This window comes from Homo sapiens, chromosome 7, assembly GCF_000001405.40.
Source record: "Homo sapiens chromosome 7, GRCh38.p14 Primary Assembly".
In the NCBI taxonomy this organism is placed as follows: Eukaryota; Metazoa; Chordata; class Mammalia; order Primates; family Hominidae; genus Homo; species Homo sapiens.
In genome coordinates, this window is record NC_000007.14 from 11451140 (window position 1) to 11475476 (window position 24337).

Here is a 24337-nt window from a genome sequence, read left to right on the forward strand (position 1 = left end):
GAGAAGTTTCTTCAACAAATACATGCTATGAAAAAGGGAGCTATAACTGTTGTCAGATTAAAAGTGACCTAAGAAATACACGAACCAAATGCAACGTGGAGACCTTTTGGAACCTCAGTTTGAACAAACTATGCATAAACATTTTTGAGACAATGGAGAAAAATTATTAGATAAAAGTATTAGATAGTTTGAAAGAATTGCTAATTATAATGCTATTGTTATGTTAAAAATGCTCAAGTATTTATGGATGATATATATCTTACTTGGAAGTTGCTTTAAAATACTCCAGCAAAATTCTTTTTAAGTGTGTGGACAGACGACCAAGAATAGCAACATGTTAAAAACTGCTGAAGCTGAGTAAATGATGACTACATTGCTAGTACTCATTATATTAGTCCCTCTACTTTTGTGTATCTTTGAAACTTCCCATAAGTTTAAATTAAAAAGATTAGTAAGTTGAATAAGTAAAGTTAATTCTAGAATGTTTTCACGTAAATTGAGTTTCAAGCTATGTTTTAAAGAGAAAAATAATAAAGGTTCATGGACTAAAAGGGAATAGATAACACTGGCTGAGCTAAGAGGACATGGATATCTGTGTTATGCATACATGGATGTGTAAATGGAAGGCTACTGATGCAGCTCTGAAGCAGATCAAATGGAATTCTGAGTGTAATTGCTCATCTTCATTTTTGAAGAGGAATGAAATTTCCTTATTATTCAGGTTTCACAAGAAGAAGGTGTTCTATTGCTCAGTGAATTACCCTTCAGCGTGTAAGGCCATGCACTCATTTTGTTTGAATAATCAGAATGAAATAAATTGCCTGATCCAAAATGGGCACATAGAAGTTCATTACAGGAAACAGAATAGGATCAATGCCTTAGTGCAGTGAAAGCTGTTGGATTATATGTAGCAAATGGTCAAAGAGCTCTGTGACCTTATTATTAAACTGAACAATATTAACATGGTTTATACCACTACACTAGTGTCTGGGTAGCATTAGAGACAGAAGATGATCAGCTCATTAAGTAATTAGATGAGTGATTTTCTCCTATGGTTTTATGAAAAAAATGGCAATAGCGAGAATGAATCATGTAGAAATGAAGAAGAAAAAGCTTAATGTGAGTGTGAGCTAGTTACCAAGAGACCTAATTGTGCTTAGAAATAAGATCAAACCTATAAATAATCCAAGAGGGCTCCAGTTGTTTACTAGGTAGATATAATGATCCTGGTCTTTCTCTGTGTAAAAGAGATTTTCACTGGCAAGTTTGCCAAATTATAGTTCCTAACTACAATTTGTTGAGTGTAGCCCTGGCACAATGGAAAGAAATGTACCTTCATTTTTGATTGATCCTAAATAGTTACCAATGATCCCCAGTCTCACTGATGCTTATAATATATGTGAGAATACTAGGATGAGAACTTACTAGGAAATAATAATCAGTTCCCAGTGGAGTAGCTGAGACTGAGGTTGGCTAAGATCCCCAGTTGGGATCTGGGAAGGGTTAACTGCATCAGAACACATGGAGCATCCAAGAACAATCACAGACCCAGCACGGTGCCAAGCTTATTTTATGAGCTACTATTTAAAAAATGGCAAATGTTAATAAGCATTTTATGACAGATCTCCCAGAGAGATATAAAACGAAACCCAAAACCCCAAATTAACGAGGATGCTAATATTCATAGGAAGTTAAACATTTTAAAATATAAATAATTCTAGAAGTTTTAAATAATGGTATATATAACTGCAGAGTATAAAACCTGGGTAATAACTAATAAATATATCAGCCAAAAAAGAGATTAAAAATTACGTCTGTATAAAATTTCCTTAAAGCAAGCTCCTTCTCTTTTTCCTACCTAGTTCTTTTTCCACTTCTTTTTCTTTCTATTGAAGAACTCTCTTTTGACAATTAACAGATAATGTGCCCTGCCAGGATAAATTGGCCCAGATATTATGAGCCTAACCTCAATAATGCCTCTAAAATGTAACCTTTAAAAAAAGAGCAAAGTGGGTCAGAGTTTTCAGCAAAGGGTGAAGCAAGGCCCATCAACATAGATTAAACCATGTAACTTAAGCATATTTGTTCACAAAAAATAAGAGCATAAAATATAGTTAAATTATTGTATTGCACATTCCACATTTAGATTTAAGTTTAATAGGGGAGAATTAGAATTTTTCTTTTACCTTTTTTTTTTTTTAAGGACTCTCCTTTTGTAATCTTTTTAAACCAATAAGTGACACAGGGTGAGGACTCCTAGGGCCAGGAGGACCTCTCCTATGCAAGGTATATTATTGAAGTATTTTTCTTTTTTGTGGTCTAGATTCAAGAATGCATCCAAATTATGTTGGCTTCCATCTAAAGAGACTGATGTCAGATTTTAGTGACCAGTGACATTACAACAGATGTTCCTTGGCAGGCAAGAAAACAGAGGGGCTATTAGATTAGGCTAGACGGGGTAGACCCTAGAAAATATTAACTCTAGTTCCATCTAATCTACAGCAAGTACACTTGGCATGATTATCAACATGAAGATTGAGCAAGAGAAAATTTACCATCATTTATGTGATATGTCTACCTTGAATCTTTGCAACTTTTAAAAATTCTACTCTTCGTAGAAACATGTCACAAAGTAATAAACACTGGAATGATACACATTGAAGAAGTAGTTATTGACATTGCTTCTTAGGGCAGTTGTAAAGAAAAGAATAAACAAAGCATCCAAAATTGACATTATGGTCATATATTTCTAATGCAAATTTAATGGCAATTCTATCCATAGTTATTATGGCTAGGTTTCAATTACATAGCCACTGACCAATAATTCAGCCTTCTAAATACCATCTGAACTGTATAAATATGAACAGAGAGAAAAGACAGTGGAGGTTACAGTTCTATTCAAAGTTTATACACTAGTGACTTGAATAGTATGAAGAAAATATAAGCTGTCTATTCACTTCAAAGTTAAAATGAAATATGGCCATACTTCATGTTATTTGCATTTCTCTTTTATTGACAATTTTATAGGGAAGATGCCTATTTCAAAGATCCTCTAAAATTTCCATATGAGATTTAAGAATGATTCAAATTTTAAAGTTGCCAAATCGTGTCAATGTCTTCTTTAAAAATTTCTCTTTTTCCTCTCTCTTTTTACTTCTTATGCCATTATACAAAATTTCCTGGAATATAACATTCTCAATACCCAAAGCCTTGTAAAAATCCTTCACTACTTCTCATTTTTTTAATGAGAAAAAGAAAAACAAAACTATCCTTGCCCCTTGCCTCTAACTCACTCACAGGAACCCTAGGCAAACTGGTCAATGAGCTGTTCCTAAACATAAAGATTTTACTTCTTGCCTTTTTGCTTGAGTCATCCTATATTTAAATGCTGTGTCTCTTTCACTATGCCGTATCAGTGGTTATCTCTTTTTTTTTTTTCAATTCTTCAGTGATTATTGTGTATATACACTACTACTGTATTATTATGACTTGTAACCCAAGTCATGTATACCTATAGTATATTTTCTACCATACTAAGTTAACTGAATCTATTTGTTATACATTTTTAATATCTCAAGAGGCTGGGCCTAGTACCATGAAGGCAATGTGAAATATGTAGCATGCATTCAATAAATATTTATGAGAGAATGTATTATATTGAATTATATTCAGAAAGTTTGGATTGGTTTTTAGAAATTTGAGTTACCTGTTTTCACAGCTTTCTGAAAGAGCATAATATTAACAAACATATAGCTCTGTACACTAAGATGATAGGAATTTTATTTAAAAGTTCGGATCCTGCACTATTGCTATATACTGAGTTGTATCTCCCTCAGATCCACATGTTGAAATCACCAATGTGATGGTGGTATTTGAAGGTGAGGTCATGAGTGTGAGGTTCCTATGACGGGATTAATGCCCTTCTCAGATGAGACCTGAGTGCACTTTCTCTCTCTGTCTCTCTCTCTCTCACTCCCCTTGCTTTCTCTCTCTGCCTTGTTTTTTCTCTGCCATGTAACAGCACAGTGAGAAGATGACTGTCTGCAAGTCAGGAAATAGGTCTTCGTCAAGAACCAAATTGGCTGGCACCTTGACCTTCACATGCACCAGAACTGTGAGAAATAAATTTTTGTTTAAGCTACTTGATCTATAGTGTTTTGTTATAGAAGCCCAAGAATCCTGATAAAACTATCAACACAACATTTTAAGCATTTGTTTTAGAAAAGATTTCTAATGTTTCTACAGAAACACTTGATGAACTTAAAGAAAATACCCATTTTATGTAGCAGAGTAGCTAATTCAATTTAGAGAAGATTGGGCAAAAATTACTGGTGATTCTGGGGATAATTGATATAAAATTCTGCTTCAGCATTATGCCACTTTTCCTTTTAAATGTAAAGGAATTGGGTCATAAATAAAAAATTCCTATGTGCTTTTCAAACTTTCAGGAATATATAAATTTTCTTTTAAAGTACTTTGTGTTCTAATATAATAGATCAGAAAAACTTTTCATATAGTTTTGACATATATAAAATATAGATTTTATCAAGACTGCATTTACTTGATTAGAAGAGACTCTACCTATATTCTTATTCCTGTGTTGCTTTAACTCATTTCTGAATAAGGATGATTCTCACAAATTTGCTTTAGAGCGAATGTCAGTGCTGAGATCATAAGTAAACAGTTTACAATTTTTAAAGAGGCTCTGGGAACACAATTGCTTCCCAAATCTTTTGAAATATGTCATCACAGATAGTTCCTCCAATTTGAAAAATTATGCTATTAATAGTATTAAGAGTAAAAATGAAAGTATGTCTATAAAGGCCACTTTATTTTATTGTTAACAGGTGGTTAAAAGTAGGTGCAGGCCTAGGAGGCATGGCTAGTAAGGTGATAAGAAGGAATTTGTGTTACATTTTTCTATCAATATGGAAGGGTCCAGACGTTGGAGAAGAACTGAATCATAATAGGTGACCTTTTAAGTGTTGGGCTGAATGGCACATATTATATGAGACACACACATTCTCTCTTTTCTATGTGTACTTAGTAAATTAACTCTGAATGTCCAGCTTTTGAGTATAATTTATCATGTTCTAGACAAGGGAATTTTGAAGGCTGGAATGTTTTTCTCTCTTGTCTTCCATAGCCCATGTATTTTCTGGTTTCACCTTTAGCCCCTTTTTAATTTTAATTTTTACTACTAAAGTTCTTAGAGTCAACATTTTATTCCTAACCTCCCCCAAAAAGAATGCTGCAATTTCATCCTTAAAGGCAGATATTTTACTATTGTCCCAGTCTTTAAAATCTACTACTTTCATAACTATAAAATAGTTCTTTTATTGCTGAATTGAATTTGTATACATCTTCCCAACTGACAAGATAAATTCCAGGGATTTTCTGATCCTATTGGGTAATGACTATTCAGTATTATTAGAAGTTCTGACTACATCATTGGTTACATGGCTTTTGGGTTTAGATCAAGGGTCAGCAATTTTTTTCTGTAAAAGACTACATGGTAATTATTTTTGGCTTTGTAGGCCATATGGGTCTGTCCTAACTACTCAATTGTGCCTTGTATCATGAAAGCAGCCATAGGCAATATGTAAAAAAATGGCTGTGGCTGTGTTCTGATAAAACTAATTACAAAAAAACAGGCTGCGGACTGGATTTAGCTCACAGGCCATATAGTTTACTGACTCCTGGTATGGACATATAGATTGATAAAAGTCATGAAGTAAACATTTCTATCTCTAGAATCATACAATGGTAAAGTTAGCTATCTCATATCTTAGTTACATGATATTATTCAAGTGGGAGTACAAGGACACAATAATTTAAAGTTAATAACATTTAAGTTAAATTCTTTAAAAGAAATGCTTAAAGAATCTACAAGTGCAAACTTGTTAGAGAAAAAAGAAATCTATTAATGATAAGGTATAATCGCTTTTATTCATATATATAATAAAAGTTGCATTTTAGAGTTCTTAGCTTTTTTATAACTTCAGCAATTCACTCTATGGAAATGTTACCCAAATTTCCATCTGCCATCTTATGCTATCTCTACAGCTACATTTCTACATTTCAAGTGCATACCTGAATATTTCCACTTGGCTAACCCTGCCATGGCCTCAAATATAAACTGTATAAAATATACTTTCCAAAATTAGCTCTACTTTTAGACCTAGAATTTTCACCAATATAACTATTCTTAAATTAAAAATGTTAGAGTTAAAGAGTCATATGATCAACTTTGACTCTTTTATTTTTATCTCTCTTCTATTGTCTGCTACTAAGTCCCCAAAATATTTCCCTCTATCGTATGTCCACAATTTATTTATTTTTGCCTATTTCATATTACTGTTGTTTCTATGACTTCAACCTTGCACTGCTACAGCAGCATACTAGCTGGCATTCAGGCCCATGTGTCTTATCTTTCTAATTTATTCTGTACACGCTGACAGATAAAACACTGCTTTCATCAGGTCCTTGCTCATACCACTTATCGAACAAGGTCTAAAATACTGATCTTGACATTTATAGCCTTCCACAAAATCACCCCAGGCTCCAGATCACATCTTCAGAGCTCAATCCACCCACTTTTCTGTGAACACATTTAATGTTTTTGTTTTTCTTACCTCAAACACTTAGCTTATAGAATTGATCTTATCTTGTATTCTTTTATCCTCTCTACTTCTTCTAATATTATGGTACAAGTCAAGTCCCAACCCGTACTTTAAGTCTTTCCTCAGCTCTTCAGCTTCAAATGATTGGCTTTGCAATTGATAAGTTTCAGTCTTTAATTCTTGTTAGGTGACATTAACAGTGATCTAATTTTCCTAAAAAATATAAGCTCTCTGGTTTAAAGATCTTCATTCTTTCCTAACATTTATAGCTTTTTCTACAGTCTTCCAAATGCAAAAACAGTGGAATGAGTAATTGAAATGAGAAATTCTGATGTGCTAGGGGGGACAGAGAGCAGCTTCTCTATAGTCTTTGTTGATTGATTTAATGTTTACTATATAATTATTTTTGTCATAAAAATAGCACAAGTTCATTTTTTTATTTAAGTCTCTGACCATATAAGTAAGGATAAAGATGAAAATAGCAAGAACTTGGCGAGTAAATAATATGGAGTTCTGAAAACAGCCACGACCATCAAAGGAAGAAAATTTTGTCTTCTTGCAATTAGTAAAAGATACTTCTACATTCTTAAGATTCTCCACTTCATGTTTCTATAGAAATATAAGCTGTACGAAAAAGCAGTCTTTCATCTACTCAGGAAACAAAGAAAAAGACTGTCTTCATATGGAAGTTAAAGGGATTGTTCTAAATATATTTATGAATATATCACTTGTTATAATGCAACTTTCACTTCCCAGATATCCTGAAAATGGATAAGATTGCTGAGGTACAGCAAGTTGTTTGACAAATATGCCAAGATTAGGAAGCACTATGTAAGTACAGGCAGAGAAAGAGACACCAGTAATAGGAAATCAAAAATGGAACAATCAGAAAGATAGGAGAAAGTCGCACACTGAAGATGCTAAAGACCCTTTTATCACAGAGGGAGTGGGTAACAAGTATTCACTACTACAAGGTGGCCACCCAGGATGAAGAACGAACAGTTTTCCGATTTGGAAATGCAAAGGTTGCTGGTAATCACAGACAGAATAGTTTTTGTACAGATTGTGTGTCAAAACCCAAAAGGCCCATATGCATACATTCACTTGGGTTATGAACAAACAGGAAGAGGGAAGAAATTAACGTTTAATGAAGACAGCATGTGCCAACTACTCTAAGGCTTTTGTGTTCTTAGCCTTAAAGGGAGGAAATGAATCATCCAAGGTTGTGCAGCTTATACGTCATTGTTTGGAACTGAGGCTGTTTTCACACTTGTGCTGCTTCTACTGATCTTGTATTTCCTCCAGTGGTGTTTTATAAAGATATGGTTTTCATCTGCTTTACCTAATTTTATTTCACATTTTGATCTCTGGGTATTGTTTGTGCATCTATTATGAAAATTTGAATAATCCTAAAATATCATTTGGTCCAAACCCCTCTTTTTTTTTAATCTAAATAAATTGAGGTCCAGAAGGTGAAGGGATGAGTAAGACACACTGTATTAGTAAAAGAATGGAGACTAAAACTTATGTTTCCTGATTCCCAAACTCATGCTCATTTTCATTATAACCTCTATATAGAACCCAAAATATATGCAAATCAATGCCTGATTCAAGAAGGAGTTAGCAGGGCATGACAAGAAGATCTCATATCACTCAATTTCTTAAAGAATGATTTGAAATGGAGGAGAACGACTTTCAGTTCTATATACTTAAGTCTCTATAACTGTAAAGGGAGTCACAGTTATGTTTTACCCAAAGTTGATGGTGGGAGATACATAATGAGAATTATGCAAATAAAATAAAATCCTAAAAACTACTGCAACTAGCAATTTAAGATTATTTGGAAACTAAGTTTTATGTTCCAGAAGAAGACTTCTAAAAGGAAGATTATAAAAACAGGGGATTTTTTTTTTTTTTTTTTTTTTTTTTTTTTTTTTTTACAAAACAGAAGCATTTTTTTCTTAAAAAGGCAGTTTTTTTTCACTGTACAGAAAATGAAGTCCCAGATCAAATCAGCAAAAACTGGAATTCTGCTCTACATCTTCAAATTTTTGTGTCAACATGAAATACGTAACTACACATGGGAGAGCAAAATACGTTTTTTATAAATTAAAGTTGCTCGCATATTCAATTATGTATTATGCTACATTTTAAATACGCAGCAGGAGCTGTATGCTATAAGTCAATATGAGTAAAAATAATCATGTGCTCTTTAAAGACTGAATTTGCTATGTCTGGAAGAAACAACATATTCCAAATCTTGAGTTTCTATATTCCCTATAATATCTAGTAAATAATTATGGCAAAGTTGAACATTCTCATTACCCATTTCTGCAAGATTCCACGTTATTTAGTGGTGCAGATTGTAATTAAGTAAATAAGTCTGCCATTTAAAAATCAGTACTAAATATGAACAGAATTGTGGATAGCCATGAAAATGAAAGAGATGTCATTCTGAGAACTTCTGAAAAAGTTAACTAATTCTATTACATTGTATGTATGCACATATATAATGCATATAGGCAAGGAGGTAAGAATCTTATTGCTTATTACGGTGGCAAGCAAAATGCTGTGGATACCGTAATCTAAAAACAAACAAACAAACAAACAAACAAAAAAGCTTCAGTGTACCATTTATGTCATAAGTGAAAGCTTGGCCTGACTTTCTTTCAGACATAAATGAGAGAAAAATTCAAGAATTATGAGCTAATGCCAAAGAACAATGGGAACAATTTAAAAAGACATGTTTCTATGTCCTGATGTTTTGTGGAATGGCTCATAGCAGATTTATATCTGCTTTGCTCTGTTTGCTAAGCATGGTGTCCAAGTGGCAAATGCATCAAAACAGTAGTTAAACTAGCGATGCTGGAGAAATGAACTGTGGAATGGGGCCTCCCACCTCTTGCCTGTCGCCCAGGCCCACAGCCTTCCTGTGCTCCAGGGCTGTCTTGTTGCACGCTCCAAGGGACTAATTGGCATCTGCGCCATTTGTGAGTCTTCCACCTACAAGACAGGAACAGAAGCCCAGTGGGGAAGAAGCAAAAATGCCAGCAAATCACAGAGACACAGCAGCATGGAAACATGACTTTGACCACTGCAAACACAGTTATTTAGCAATGCTCAGTTCTATCTAAATTTAATTTAGATCTCCATCTAGGCTTTAGAAGAAGTAACATTAAATATAAAAGTACTTTCTCTGGCAGTGAAGACAAGAGTACATCATTGTCAAGTTCTATAGGACTCTACAGAGAACATTTAGACTTTTTAATGATTAGGACTGCCAACAAATGCACCAGATGGCCCCAGAAGTGATGCATGCCATTTAAATAATGTATATTTATTTTATTCAAGTTATGAAACTGTATTCAAGTCATGAGTCTTTTGTATAGTGCTCTTTTGGTTAGCATTGTAGGAGTATCTCAGCAACTGTAAGTATAATATGCTTTACAAAAACAAATTCCAAAAATAAATAAGTTTGAACCAGTAGTTGTCAATGTGCATGGTGTAAGTATACAATTATAGTATTTGTCATCTCAGAATTAAAGATTGATATATTAAGATGCCAAATTTGACAATGTCATCTTAAATATTTATTTTGTGATTACATTTTTCATTAATTGATGCCATAATACTTCATTTGCTGTCAGGACTGCAAATGTATACGTCAGATTTCTATTAGATAATTTCTGTCTTAATCATAAGGAGGTAAAATTTCTCTAACAAATTATCAAGATGATATATAGCTTCGATAACTACAATTTTATTTGAGGTGATCACAAATGAACAGAACAGCCATCTTACCAGCATCATTGAGATACAGATGTCATTTCCTGAGCCAGAATGTGAGCATTTATGATTACAAACAGGTGCTCTTTGGAGCAGGGGAGTAATGCTTAGGCTAGTCTTCTAAGTGAAAAAGAATTTCTTCCTAAAGTATACATGTTTCATAATTATTAATCACTTTTCAGCATTTCTTGTATGTTATATCAACATAAGACATTTCCCCAAACTACTGGAGCTAACACGTCACCTTGGAAGTTTACACAAATATTTGCCTTCTTGTACATCATTTCAGTAGCACAGCAGCTCTGCTGAAGAGACAAGAATGGCAGCTACAGCCATAAACATCCCAACTCCATTGAGCCTGTGGAAGGAACAGTGTTGACTTCCTTTCCTTATCCTAGGAAAGGATGTGGAGTTGACGTATTTGTTCAGCTCCTCCCTCACGATGCATTTCTCTAACCCTACCTGTAGCTTTGGCACGCTTGAGGTGCCTCACAGGCCTTCTCTTCATAGAGGGGATCTGTGCAGTCTCGGCCCCCGTTGGCTGGCAGCTGAATGATGACCCGATGCCTAGACTGCTTCCTGATACTGGAGTCCCCTGCAATGAAGCAGTTTTTTAACCTCTGTACTTTACACTGATGAGATAATCTCTAAATACCAGTCTGTGTGAAGAAATTACATTGCCTCCAGCTACATGTGCTTTGACATCCCTGAGAGGCTTCACCTGGTCTAAACATTCACTAAATTCTCCCAAAGACCATTTATATCAAAAACCCAATCAATTCATATTTAAAAATAGAGAAAATGTGAAGAATGGAGAAAACAGTTCTGTAGGCAGTTAGCCTTCCTAAGGTGCAGTCACAAAGTAATTGCTCTTTTGTATAATTCTTTCCCTTGAGGAATATGACAGATCTAATTAATTTATTTTCCTCTACCTTAAATTCATTGTCATGCTATTTTGCCTAGCCCTGTTTATCACATGGGACTCATACACATGTAATGAATCTTCTTTAGGAGAATATATTCAGTGCTATAATGTGAAATTTTATTTCTTTGTTATTCATTTAATTTGAAATGCATAACTTGTAAATTATTCCGGTCATTTATTATTCATGTTAGACAGTCTAAGACCTTCAATTCAGGTCACATTCTAAACATTAGGGATCTAAGTAGTAAAATGAAAGTGGTTTCTTAGAGGCAGACACAGACTTTTTAGAGAAGCAGTCAAAATAGCAATAATTACTATAAATAAGTAACTCTAAAGTATGTTAAAAATGGAAAAAATTAAGATACACTTTCAATAAAGACATCAACTTGACAGTATGACTGATGTAAGGATTCAAAAATCTTTTAGTATACAGATCATGTAGCGTATAAAACTTGCCAACTTTAATAAAATATATTTCAATTAAGATTACGTACACTTTAACGATGAATAGCTGCATGGCACAGGGTTTTACTTACAAAATAATTCTCTAAAGAATTATGTTAATAGAATCCTCCTGATGCATTTTCATTATTTTGCAAGATCTTCAAATATTTCATACATAGACTACAGGAACAGAAATATTTTAAAGGATTAGCAGCTCCTAACAATTAATGTTTAATCAGAAATCAAATGAAACCTTTTTAAAAGATACTGTGGTGGTGGAGAAAGTATGATTTGATGATTAGAACATTGCCATAATGGAATATCCTTTCTCATTCAGTCAAAGATATTCTTCAACACGGTCTGGGCAACTGACTCACTGCCATGTTTAGAGAGGATTTCTGTATTGGATGGGAGAATGGATCAGTAAATGGCTGACTTCATAGGAGAATCTCTTTAACAACAACAACAACAAATTTCTGGGCCTATACCCAGGACTACTAAATCAGAATCTGGAAGCTGGGTTTGGGAATAGGATATTTAAAAATCTTGCCAGGTATTTGGGATGAAGGGCCTGGTTTGAAATCTACTGTAATACACGACCTTGTATGACCTATCCCAATGTAAGATTCTGGGCTTACATGTAACTTTTTAGAATTATTATTCCCGTTGTGGGGTGTCGTCTGTACTATTAATGATGGCATAACTATTTTAATGAATAAGCGGGATACTACAGGTAATGGAGTAGGGAATTGGGGGCTAGAAGTATTGGGCAGCAGAGAATTAAAGTATTTGAAAATATTGTCATGGACTTTTAATTGTAGCAGTAGTTTGAATGCCAGCTGCAACTTTTACATGTTAAATATAATTTATCTAGGGAAGATCTAAGAAATGTCAACAGGACTTTTAATAAATTGCTAATGCAGTCTCCATCTATTATATTGTCAAAATGACCTGTATTTTAAGGCCCAGGTGATAAATTCCTTTAATAATTCAGAGCTAGGGAAAATTCTGTCTCCCTTGACAATCTGTAAAGAATCCATTGTACTTCTATTTTTTGCTTTGGTCACCAGAATCTCAGAGCTAATTTTCTTCTCAGTTGAAGGAGCTTGCCACAGCTTTGATTTTCTAGCATAATTTTTCTCTCCCTCTTCCTTCTACCCCCTTCCTATTCACTACCTGGATTTGCCCTTCTTTTACAATTTCTATTTTTTTCTTTTGTTTTATGTGTATGAACTGTCCATAATCTTTTTTTTTTAAAGTATACAAACTAATTAGACTCACATTTGTTTAACATTGGGGGAAGCAGGGAGGTTTCTGTTTTGTTTTTTAATGGGGAGGTAAGACGTAAAGGGCTCAAATGGGTTTTTGTTTCCCAGTTGGTCAAAATTCTTAGAGGCAATTACTCTCCAATCTGCAGATAGAGGACAGACACAGGATTAAGACCAGGGGATTTGGGGGCTGGTGGAGACAATGAGTTCAGCATTAGTGGCACCTCATAGACTAAAGCTCCTACTTATTAACTACCTAGATGGCACCTGGTGCATAGCCAGGGCTGTTCTACTTGAGGAAGCAGCTACCAAACATTAATGTTTCAATTCTATTTTGTTTGTTGATTTGAAAGAAAAAATGTCACTTAGAATACATTTCTGAAACATTCTCCTAATGCCTTCTCATCACAAACTCCACAAATTAGTACTAGATATATAAGACTATGATGACTCTCTTCACGTCCTTAATGGATTCCAGAGTGGCAATCCATTTATTCTTATGAAAAGTTCAAATTCCTTAACCTGGTACAGCCTACAGGATAGAGATTGTGACCTGATTCAAGTGGAACTCTTCAAAGATATGACACCCAGAGAAGACGTTTAATGGGGTTACACAGGAAGTGTCAATGACATCTATGTTTTTACCCATTGGCAGGTCTGTTTCTTCTCATATTGCAGTTAAGAAATTGCTTGTGTACTCAAAGTTACAGCGCTGTAGAGCTTTGCCAGGTTATACAGTCCTCAGATCAGAGAGCAGAAAAAAAGGAAGCTATACAGCACACATTAAAAACAAAAAATGAAAGTTTCATCATTAATAACTTGAGCTGGCAAACTGGGAATTTTATACCTTTCATCATCCCCTGCTTGTATTTATGCTCATTTTATTATATGCGGTTGATATATTTGTAGTGTTTCTATTCATCTGTGTGTTTTATACCTAAGACAAGAGTCACATATAGTAAGTGCTTAATAAATATTTGCTGAACGCACAAACACATTTATTTCACATCTTCTCAACTGGATTATTAGTTAGCACCTTCTATTTCTTTCCACTTATTCCTTTATAGTGGTAAGCGCACAGGTACCAATGCTGTGCATTAAGGATTAATAAAAATAAGCTATCACTTTGTTTTCATTGGAAATAACAAGTACGCGAAAAATAAGGGCACCTGCCTGTGACGTTTGTGCTTAAAAATGCCTATCCAGGATAGGAATGGAAAAAACAGATCGTACATCTAGCAAATAATCATGTGATGATGGGGTACACAGATTCAGAAGATATGTAATCTCTCACACAGTTATAGCATTTTTTCAGATATCTTAAGACATTCAAAATAAATTTCACCGAGAAATTACTTGATGAAAAGGATTTAAAAGGCAGGCAAAACTGATTCATTAAACTGGATATGGGATGGATTGCAGGTTGAAGCAGTACAGTAATAGGAAATTGAAAGGGAAATGTCTCATCCAAGAAGCAAAATGTAAAGGTAGTATTCAGATCTTTGGTGGTAATTCTAGTGCTCTAGTGATTTAGGACATGAGGAAGAAGCCTCTGCAATATTCCTTCTATTTCTCAACACAATAAATGCAGTGAGAAAAAAAAGGAGCAAACAGAATTTGAGCAACCAAATATATTATTTGATCAAAAGTATTGATTTTTTAAAATTAGAGGTACAAATAATTTATGTGCATAAGGTATTTCTATTTTTTAAAATGCCCTCTGTCAAAATTTACAAAAATTTGAAAAACACGTTAGCAAGTGCACTGGTCTCAGGATTAAACTACACTCCACTTAATACTGATCTTTATCAGCATTGATTTTTCAAGGGGTATTTTAGAAGAAGGCTGAATAACATTTCAAACAACTCTTTTAGTTCTTCCTGGAATCCTACTATTCTGTTTTATTTTGTGCAATAGTATTGTGTATTTGACTTCCTTAAAGTGATTTTAAAAAGAAGGATAGTCCTGCACTTTAATAAGCCCAACATCTTTGTAAAATTTAGACTTTACTCGCAGAATTAAGTAAAAAGAACCACCCCAACTTTGAATTAATTTTCTGTTGCTATTACCTCTCTTTGAACATTCAACTTTGCTTAGCATTTTTAAATGGTGTGTGTAAATTGGTGTAATTTCAAAATGATACTTGGGTTATTTCCATTTCTTATGAAATAATGAAAAAAACTAACCTCATGCCATTTACTTTATTTTCTTCACAACAAAAGGCTAGCTTTCTGTAACACCATTGTCTCCTTATTCTCAGTTACAGCAGTCTACAGGCAAAACAGAAAAAACTGCTTCTAGAGCACAAAGCATCTTGGCACTGTTATCCAACAATGACCCTTCTATCACTCTCCAGTCTTTAAAAAATTTTTATTTCCTCAAATACCCAACTGAGGTGATTTTTTAAAAATCGGAGTGCCTAGGTTTAGGGTTTCTGAAAACCTTTTGTTCTAGGAGAAACAACATGAGCTGCCAAATAAAACAGTCAGCACTCATTCCTTGCTCCGGATGACATGACCTGTGTTCAGGGAAACACTGCTCTGCCGCTTAGAGAGCCTCTTGCTTCTAAGAGAGCCGATTCCCGAGTTGGCATTTTTGCACTCTCTTGCCACCACCATCTCAGGAACACCAGGAGAGAATAGTATCCTAGTGGTACCATGCATTTTTACTTACAGAGGTTTCCTACCTTCCCCCAAGAGACCAACCCAACTAAACCCATTATGCCTCACATGCCTGCCACTCACCACAAGAAATGAGCCCTCCCCAGCTCCAGGTCATTCATCATCACCCGGACCCACAGCACTATCTACCCGCATAACACGATTCAGTTTTTCATTCCTTTACATCCTCTAGCCCTTCTACCGCTGCGCCCACTGGAACACATGATCTCTCATCTTCAGTCTCTTCTGGGAAAGTTTCCTTCACATCTTGGGCTCCAGTGGGCTGGTCGTTCCAAAATCACATCTTTCTCACAGTCATTTAAGGCTTTCCTGATGTCTCCAATCCTCACTTGCAATTCTTTCATGTGGTTCATCTTTCAAGAAGATCTCTTGTACCTCCTTTTCAGTATGATTTTTCTTAATATATTTGCTCTGACATGATTATTCCATTCCCTTCCTTAGAGCTCTTTGTGTTTTACCATTAAATTTTGTTATTGAACCATGTAAGTCTTACATTATCTGGGCTGTGCAGAAGAGTTCTATATGTTAAATGCAATTAAAAGCTTCCTTGATGTCTGGGACTGTGATTTCTCTATATGACCATTAGTGTGCTAGTTATATACAAAAATCAATAAATAAGTAATTAAATAAGTATTTATACATATATACACAAATAAGTACTGACTCAATTAAGACCTATGTAGCATTCACAATCTATTCATTCTCATCTATCTGCTAAGAAGTTTTTAAAAGTGCTTTATGTGAGTTATCACAGTGTTTTAGATTTTTTATTTTATAAATGATCAAACAGCAAAGAGCAAATCAGTTTCTTCATACTGTAAAAATCACAAATTTAAAAATCATGTTATTTTCTTTTCAAGTATGGTTTTTTACTCCTAAAAAACCTCTATTTTTTCTTTCCTTTCCAGATGTATATAATACGTAACAAAATCACAAATGTGTTTTCAAGAACTTAAGAAAAAATTTATAGGCTATTAAAATGGTTCCTAATTCCTGGATACATTCCAATATCCAAAATTATTTTCAAATAAAGGTCTAAAGAAATGAGAAAAATTCTGATTCTTCACTTTTATTAGTGACTACTCTGGAATCAATTTAATAAAATATTTTCTGTTCTTTTTTAAACTTTACTTCCTTGAAATACTTTAGATCAAATCAACTTTTTTAAAAGAGTAATTTACACAATACAAGAAAATATCCAAAATAAGGGAAAGGCAAAGTCTTTCCACTTTCAAAATTTTCACTTAAAATTTGTTTTAGACTATTAACAATTTGCTTATAAATGTAACTGCACATGCTTGGAATTATTAGTAAATGAACATATTCCATATAAACAGAAAAGATCAAGTATAAAGGCATCAAGAACAAAATTTGTAAGTGTATTAATTCTATGTAATTAATGCTTTTTAATTGAATTAATTAATAACCAACAATTACCACCTATAAGTGCCATCATAGGTAAAATATTAATCTATAAGAAAGTACAATTCTACTGCCAACTGTGACCGGTGTTATTCAGCTTAAAAAAAAAAAAAGGAATAAGAGAGGAAAATCTGGATTAAAATGTCAGGCAATGACACTGCATAGCAAGTTCATGCCATTAACATGTTTATAAAAGTTAATGCTTATAACTCCTTTTAATTTGCCAAAAGCTATTTAAATGTCTTAAAAGACTCCTAAATAAAAATATTTTGCAGTGGCTCGTGCCTGTAATCTCAGCACTTTGGGAGGCTGAGATGGGTGGATCACTTGAGGCCAGGAGTTCTAGACCAGCCTGGCCAAAATGGCACAAACCCATCTCTACTAAAAATACAAAAATTAGCCAGGTGTGGTGGCATGTGCCTATAGTCTCAGTGACTTGGGAGGCTGAGGCACAAGAATTGCTTGAACCCAGGAGGCTGAGGTTGCAATGGGCCGAAATTGAGCCACTGTACTCCAGCCTGGATGACAGAGTGAGAGACTCTATCTTAAAAATAAAATAAAATAAAGAATAATAATAATTTTCTATCACTTCTAAGTGTGGTTTAATTTTATTGGATATTTCAAGGGTATTAAATAGAAAACCATCAAAAGGAAAATCATGTTTCAACTATATAAAAATATAGTAACACAGTAAAAGTATCCATTATTAAATGTATAATACCTAAAGGATTTGATTAAATTTTGACAACTTAAAATAGTTTGTTAAGCTAGAAGTTGACTCTTAATTGAATCTCTCTAGTAAGTGTTAAGAAACATGAAAAAAATAAAAGCATACAGGAAATTTAGAAAAAATTATCTGTATTTGTTGAGTAAGATAAGAAATAGGAGACAGCGTCATTTGTAACACTGCAGGAAAATTTGCTCAGTTATTGCATAAGTCACCTGGAGGATGTTGATACCTTTCTCATCAGCAATGAGAAAAGACCCTGACCTAGAGGGTGAAGAAAGAATTATCAAAGTATTTGGCTTGATACTAACGAGTCTTTGTCTGTAAGTAATAAAAGCAAAACTAAGCCAAACTGGGAATAAATATTCATAAATTCCTCATGACACATTACATGCTGGCAGAGAAACAATTTGGCCATTTTTCTCTTTCTTTTATTCCTATTCTTGGGGCTGCATAATTGAATCTGTAGCAAATCTGGTCCCATGTTATTTTTTGCCATTAAGTAGGATGAAAGCCATGTGTACTGATAAAAGCACTGTATATCATTTTGAAATACATATACCACGATATATTCCTTCAGAACTAATGTGAAAGTAAACACTATTAATACAATAAGATTTAGAATCCTTCACTTTAATCTATATCATAAAATTTCAAGCCAGGTTTTGGCATAAACCTCACTTGTCTGGTATTCTAAAGCTATGTTATTTCCTAGAGGGAAACTAACATTTTATGGCATGCATGTCAAATCAGGTTTACATAGCCCTGTGCAAAACTCACAAACATTGCTAGGCCAGAAGACCTCAGAAGTCTACCGAGGAGGTTTTCTAGGTGAACAGCCTTCCTAACTCTGCAGACCATACCTTCTTTACACGAAGAGGGGCATGATGTCCAGTCACTATATGGGGTCACAATACAGTCCTTCTTACAAGGAAGCAGACAAGGCCTTACAGTTTCAGGTCGAAGGCTTTCAGGACATCTAGAAAGGCAAAGGGGAATTATTAGGCTTCAATAGTAAAGCAGAAAATCAGATAATTTAATTTCTCTAGAATTTTCACTGGTAAAATTGCAAAACAAGTCACTCATCTGTATTATTTAACTTCCAGGAGTCTTTCTTTCTGCTACAGGCAAGAACTATACAACTAAATTGATTGTTTCAAACCGGACCTCAATAAAGCCTCTCAAGGAAAGATGTGCAGATTTACTAATACCAATAATGCTATTTAGAAACAAATATAACACTTATACCTTATCCTCTTATAATCTCTCCATTAATAAGTATTTATATTCTAATATGTTTTAAGAAAAATTTTGTGAAAATTTAAATTATTAATTTAAGGATCTAATTCTATGATACATATTTGTATGACTAGGCCTTTTGCCTATTATAAGTTTCCAGGTTATTCTACAATTTATTTTTACAAAATATGTATTGTATAAAATAAATTTATAGTGGAGTATGTTCTTTACACAGTACATGCTCAAAACACAATACTGTATTAAAAACTACATATTTAATAATAATTAAGATAATAAAACTGTATAAATCAATCTGATAAGCAGTTTTTGCTTTATTCCTGCTTTTATTTAGTGCATCTATTTGTGTTTTCTTTTCCATTAGTCCCTAGTTTTAAATGATGGGATTTAATCTTTTTTATGTTTTTATAAACTACAATATCTTTTTTGAAACAAAAACAGTGAAGATAAATAAAGATAGTAAATCAGTAAAGAAAACTAAAATACTGTATTTTTGACATAAATTATAGTAAAATTAACTACTATTTTCAAAATAACAGCAAAAATATATTATTTATTGGGAACACAACAGAAAGATAAGGATGAAGAACACTGAAATGTCTAACTTCATATAAGCTTTCACTTCTTAAGAGATAATAGGAAGCTGATGTATAGGTTTTAAATATACTGTCTTATTCAAAATATACTTAGTATATAATTTTTTACACTTGAGCTTAGCCAAAAGGCTGAGAAGTAATAATTTTTAAATTTCCCAATTCTTCTCTGCATTTTTACAATCTGATGCTACTATTGCTAGAGGTCAAATGCTGATAATGAGCCTTAACACTAGAAAAAGATGTAGCTTAGAAAAGTAAAATATAATAATATCATTCATATAATTAAAAGTAACAAATAACTTATTCTGATTCCTAAGCAATTCTCTTTTGAAGTCATATAAATCCCTGCCATGTAAGCTAACAGGCAATGAAAAAATAATCTAAACAACTAGTATAGTTCTTGCTAAAATAAATTGGCAGATCAGTGGGAAATAGGATTTTAAAATACTCTATATAAGAGAATTCAAATATTTTGTAGCTCAAGTTTGTCTTTTGTCAAGTAAGTTAATCAGGTTTTCAGAAGTGAACTACGAGTGAAAAAAGTCAACATCATTAATCTATTTCCCATAATTTCTTTATAGTATTTTGCTGATACTTCATTTTTGACATATCTTGTATTATAAGTATTTATGTAAATTTTCTTCTTCATACATAGATACTATGCTTTATTCAATTATATAGATCAATGCTCTCCTCTCTTACTTTAAAACCCCAGTGTTTATTTGGAAGTGGATTTTAAAATATTTAAGGATTCAACATTTCAAAAATAATCTTTTTGATTTATCTTGCGCTGGAATTTCCCTAATTTCTATGACTATTCAAAGTCACGGACAACAAATAAATTTAGATTTGAATCATAGAAGCAAATTTATTATTACATGTTAGATTATAAATCAGTAGAATTACAATTTAACCTGCATTCTTAACCAGGAAACATTATATGGCAAAACTCCACATATAATTCAGTTAATTCTTTTGGAACTATGAAATTATTGGTCAGTAATTATTATTGTCAGCACTTTTGTTCAATAAGGCAATTTTATAACTTTAACAATGAGAGAGCATTACTCAGTTGCATGCTCCTCAGATATTAGCCCTGAATAAATCAATGAAATTTACAATGTTATCATTGACAACCTCCAAATATTCTGTTTTAGTTGAGAAATAGTCACAGCAAGATACTTGGCTGACTGTGGAGAACAAAATTACAAACAACAAAGTTGTTAAATGAACACACAAAGATAAATTATACAGCCTAAATTACATCCAATAAAATGAATTTGGACTTCCTTTGGCAAGGCAATTGGTTCAGTCAGCAGGCTTCTTTTATCCTTTGTACTGTTTGTATTTAGTGTTTGTGGTTTAAATCAAGAAATTGATTTCCCCCCAAATCTTATTCAAGGTCAAATTAAACAGATGTGATAGGAACTGAAGTTTGTTACCGGGAGGACAGATAAGATCAATAACATTGATTTTACCATTGCACAGTAATCTGTTTTATTAAGAGAAGTTTAAAACAAATTTTCAATTTGCATTTTTTGGTTCATATACCTAGTATTAGAAAGAATTCACTGAATTTAACCTAGCATGTAGGGAGAAAGGCAATAATATTTTCTTTTGAATTCACAGTATTTGCTTGATTTTCTAGAATTTGAGAGGTAAAGTACATCCATTTGATTTAACAAGTCTATAGATGCACATAAGTCATTGAATGAAGGCTGCAAGGGTGAAGCAAATTTTTAATGAATTATTGTGGTAGTATCACATGGGGCTTCAGGATACCCTTCCCACTGATTTAATGCTGTTAATCCAGCAGGCTCTTTCACATATAGGCGTGTACATATGTACATCCATTACTCAGGAAAAATATTTTGTAGCTTATGTAAGTGAGGAAAATGTCAAAACAGCAACATTTGAAAGGTGATTAACCGTGGGACAGGAACAGAATGAGCTCACTGGTAGAAGCTCAGCACAATAACCCTCATCCTGCGCCACAACAGGTTGGTCCTGTGCCTGCGTAGTGAATATTTCTACCTTTGTTCTTGATCCAGCAAGAGTCAGAATCCTCCAGGACTTGGGACATCTGCTCTTGCTGTTACCACTTTTGAATTTTAATACACTGTACATTAATTTCCTGAGTTAGATTCATCACAGCTTTAGCAAAATTTCTATTAAAATATTGGTTTGAGGTTACCTATTAAACATGTGAAATAGTCTTTCAATTTATTCAAATCTCACTGGCATGTCTTCTGTGTTTCCTAATTTCAAGCAATATAAAAAAATAAATTGTGGGGCAAAATATCCCTAATGTCTGGAACCCTGGCCAGACACAAACATCTCATAATGGGATTCATATTTGTTTCCCTGGAGTTTTTCATGCATCAGAGACATTATTTTCATTTTCTTGGAACACTAAGGAGTAGCTGAAATTCTTAAGAAAAAGACCAATTTCTAACATTTATTGAGTGCTTAGATTACTATTATATGTTTCATTAAATCCTTTCAACAGACTGCAAAAACTGTTGGCCAGAGTAAGTTAGGTAGCACGCTGAAGATTACACACAATATTTAACCACTTGGCTGAGTATTTAGTAAATATGAGGCCACTTTTAAACCCATGCAAAAATCGACTCATTTATCATTTCATATCTTACATGGCTAAGGTGATTTGAATTTTTAAAAAGTATGTTAAGTTTTGAAAAATAAAGCTTTTTCCCCTCAATTTTTTAGAGTAGATTTATTAATTTTCTCTATGAAGTGATTAGCTCAGTTATGCCATTATTTTTGTTTATACTTCTCACAAGGCACATATAATATGTCGACTCTCTGGTTCTTTGTTCTCCCCTCCAGCAAAGTGTTTGCCCTGTTATTATAGTACTCAAAAGCACCCTGAGAAAATGATAGTTTTTCTACTTATAATAACACTCATCCTATCCCAAGGCTCTCTCTTGGAAGTAAATGGTTTTTACTCTAACCATTGAAAGACGCAGTAAGTATGCTTCGGTATTTTTGATATAGTGTTTTCTAGGGGAAATGAAAGGCAGATCATACAAGGCTTCTACCCAATTAAACTAGATTGGGCAGCCTCCGTAGCCTACGGGTATATAGGAGGTCATGGATGACCTACACTGCCAGGACCTAGTACACTGTCATTATTGATCAGCCAGGCTTACGGCAAGCACTTCTTTCATTGCCTCACTAGCTTAATAAAAGCAGAAAGTGCTACTATAAAACAGAGAGTAGGCACCAGATAGAAAGATTTCTACAGAATTTATGGTTCCCCAGTATAAAACTCAAAGCTGTTATAGCTTTATCAGTGGCTGACTTTCAAAACAAACAAATCTTGCTCTTGAGGACAGGTATGACAAGCATCAAAATGTTCCATTTCATGAAGCCAGTGAAGCCTGAGCCAATCCTCTGCACAGGTGGCTACACGATTTACTGTTGTCATTCTAAAGCTCTTACTTTTTGGGTCCCACTTGGCCCACATTGACTCGCACACAGATGACTTTTCTTGTCTGCATGCCGACAGAGCAGGAGGCCTCCCCATTCCAAGTCGTAGTTGTGTTGAAGGACGATACTGAGGTGTCCTCAATGCACTGGCCCCAGGGACCAGTTTGCCAGTGGTACACTGTGCAAGGATGCTCATTACAGCTTCGTACTTCTTGCAAAGCACTGCTATTTGGACAGCGAATTCCACCTAAAAACATGGACAATGATAGCAAATTAGATACGGTGCCAACAGGAACCTTACCATACTCTGTTCTTTGGAATTAACATGGCTTAGAAATAAAAAGTGACTTTTCTTCCCCACATCAAGTTCATAAATACACGCAATATTTATGTGAGATGCTTCAAGGGATACCTACAGGGGTTAAAAATAGTTTCTGCTACACTCAAGGATCTCATAATGTAGTAGGGAAAAGTAGTAGGGGAGATAAGGATACAAATGAGTATAATTCTAGATAGAATGAAATAATTATATTGTGCGGTATTTAGTATAACTGGGATTCAAGGAGTACAATTTCACTACTTTTTGGAGTCTGAAGAATGCCTCAGATTGAAAGAGGCACTGAGAAAAATTTTGAAGGAGTAGGATTTCAATAAGCAGAATTCTGGGAAGGGACAGAAGGAAAAGAGAATAGTATCTAAGTAGAAAAATAAATAAACAGAAGCAAAGGCATGCAGGCAGGTGTGACCTTGGCAATTAACAATATTGACATAGTCAATTGGAGTGTAGAGTTCACATCAGAAAGTAATTGGCAACAAGAATAAGAAAGTAGACTGGGCTTATGTTATAAAGAAGCTATTAGTGTGAAGAGTACTATTATCATAATACTATAAATTATACTTTTAAGGTGCTTCTAACGTTTCCTGCTATTGTAGCCTGAATTCCTTTGACAGCAGACCACTGCTGGGTGAAAAGTGCATTGGCAAGGATATGCTTTGGGGGTACCGAATTGGAACAGCATTAGCTGTGGGGTACTTCAGGAGATTCTGCGGCAGCACAGCCCCACCTCCCGGTTTTTCTTTGCAGAAACAGGCAGAAGACTGTCCACCGTGAAGCCTGCGTAAGTCCTGTGTGGTGGTCAAGTAGTGACAGATTGA

General features: G+C 34.0%; 1 protein-coding gene across 6 annotated transcripts in view; it reads right to left on the bottom strand.

Moving 5' to 3' along the window:
• THSD7A (thrombospondin type 1 domain containing 7A) overlaps positions 1 to 24337 on the bottom strand; it is a 461834-nt gene that overhangs the window by 80775 nt on the left and 356722 nt on the right. For all 6 annotated transcript variants that reach the window (XM_006715662.2, XM_006715660.2, XM_006715659.2 and 3 more), the window contains 4 exons: positions 23195 to 23429; positions 18740 to 18855; positions 10872 to 11004; positions 9523 to 9626 (listed from right to left, as the gene is read on the bottom strand). In XM_006715662.2, the coding sequence (XP_006715725.1) occupies positions 9523 to 9626; positions 10872 to 11004; positions 18740 to 18855; positions 23195 to 23429 (588 nt within the window). The remainder of the gene's footprint in view (positions 1 to 9522; positions 9627 to 10871; positions 11005 to 18739; positions 18856 to 23194; positions 23430 to 24337) is intronic.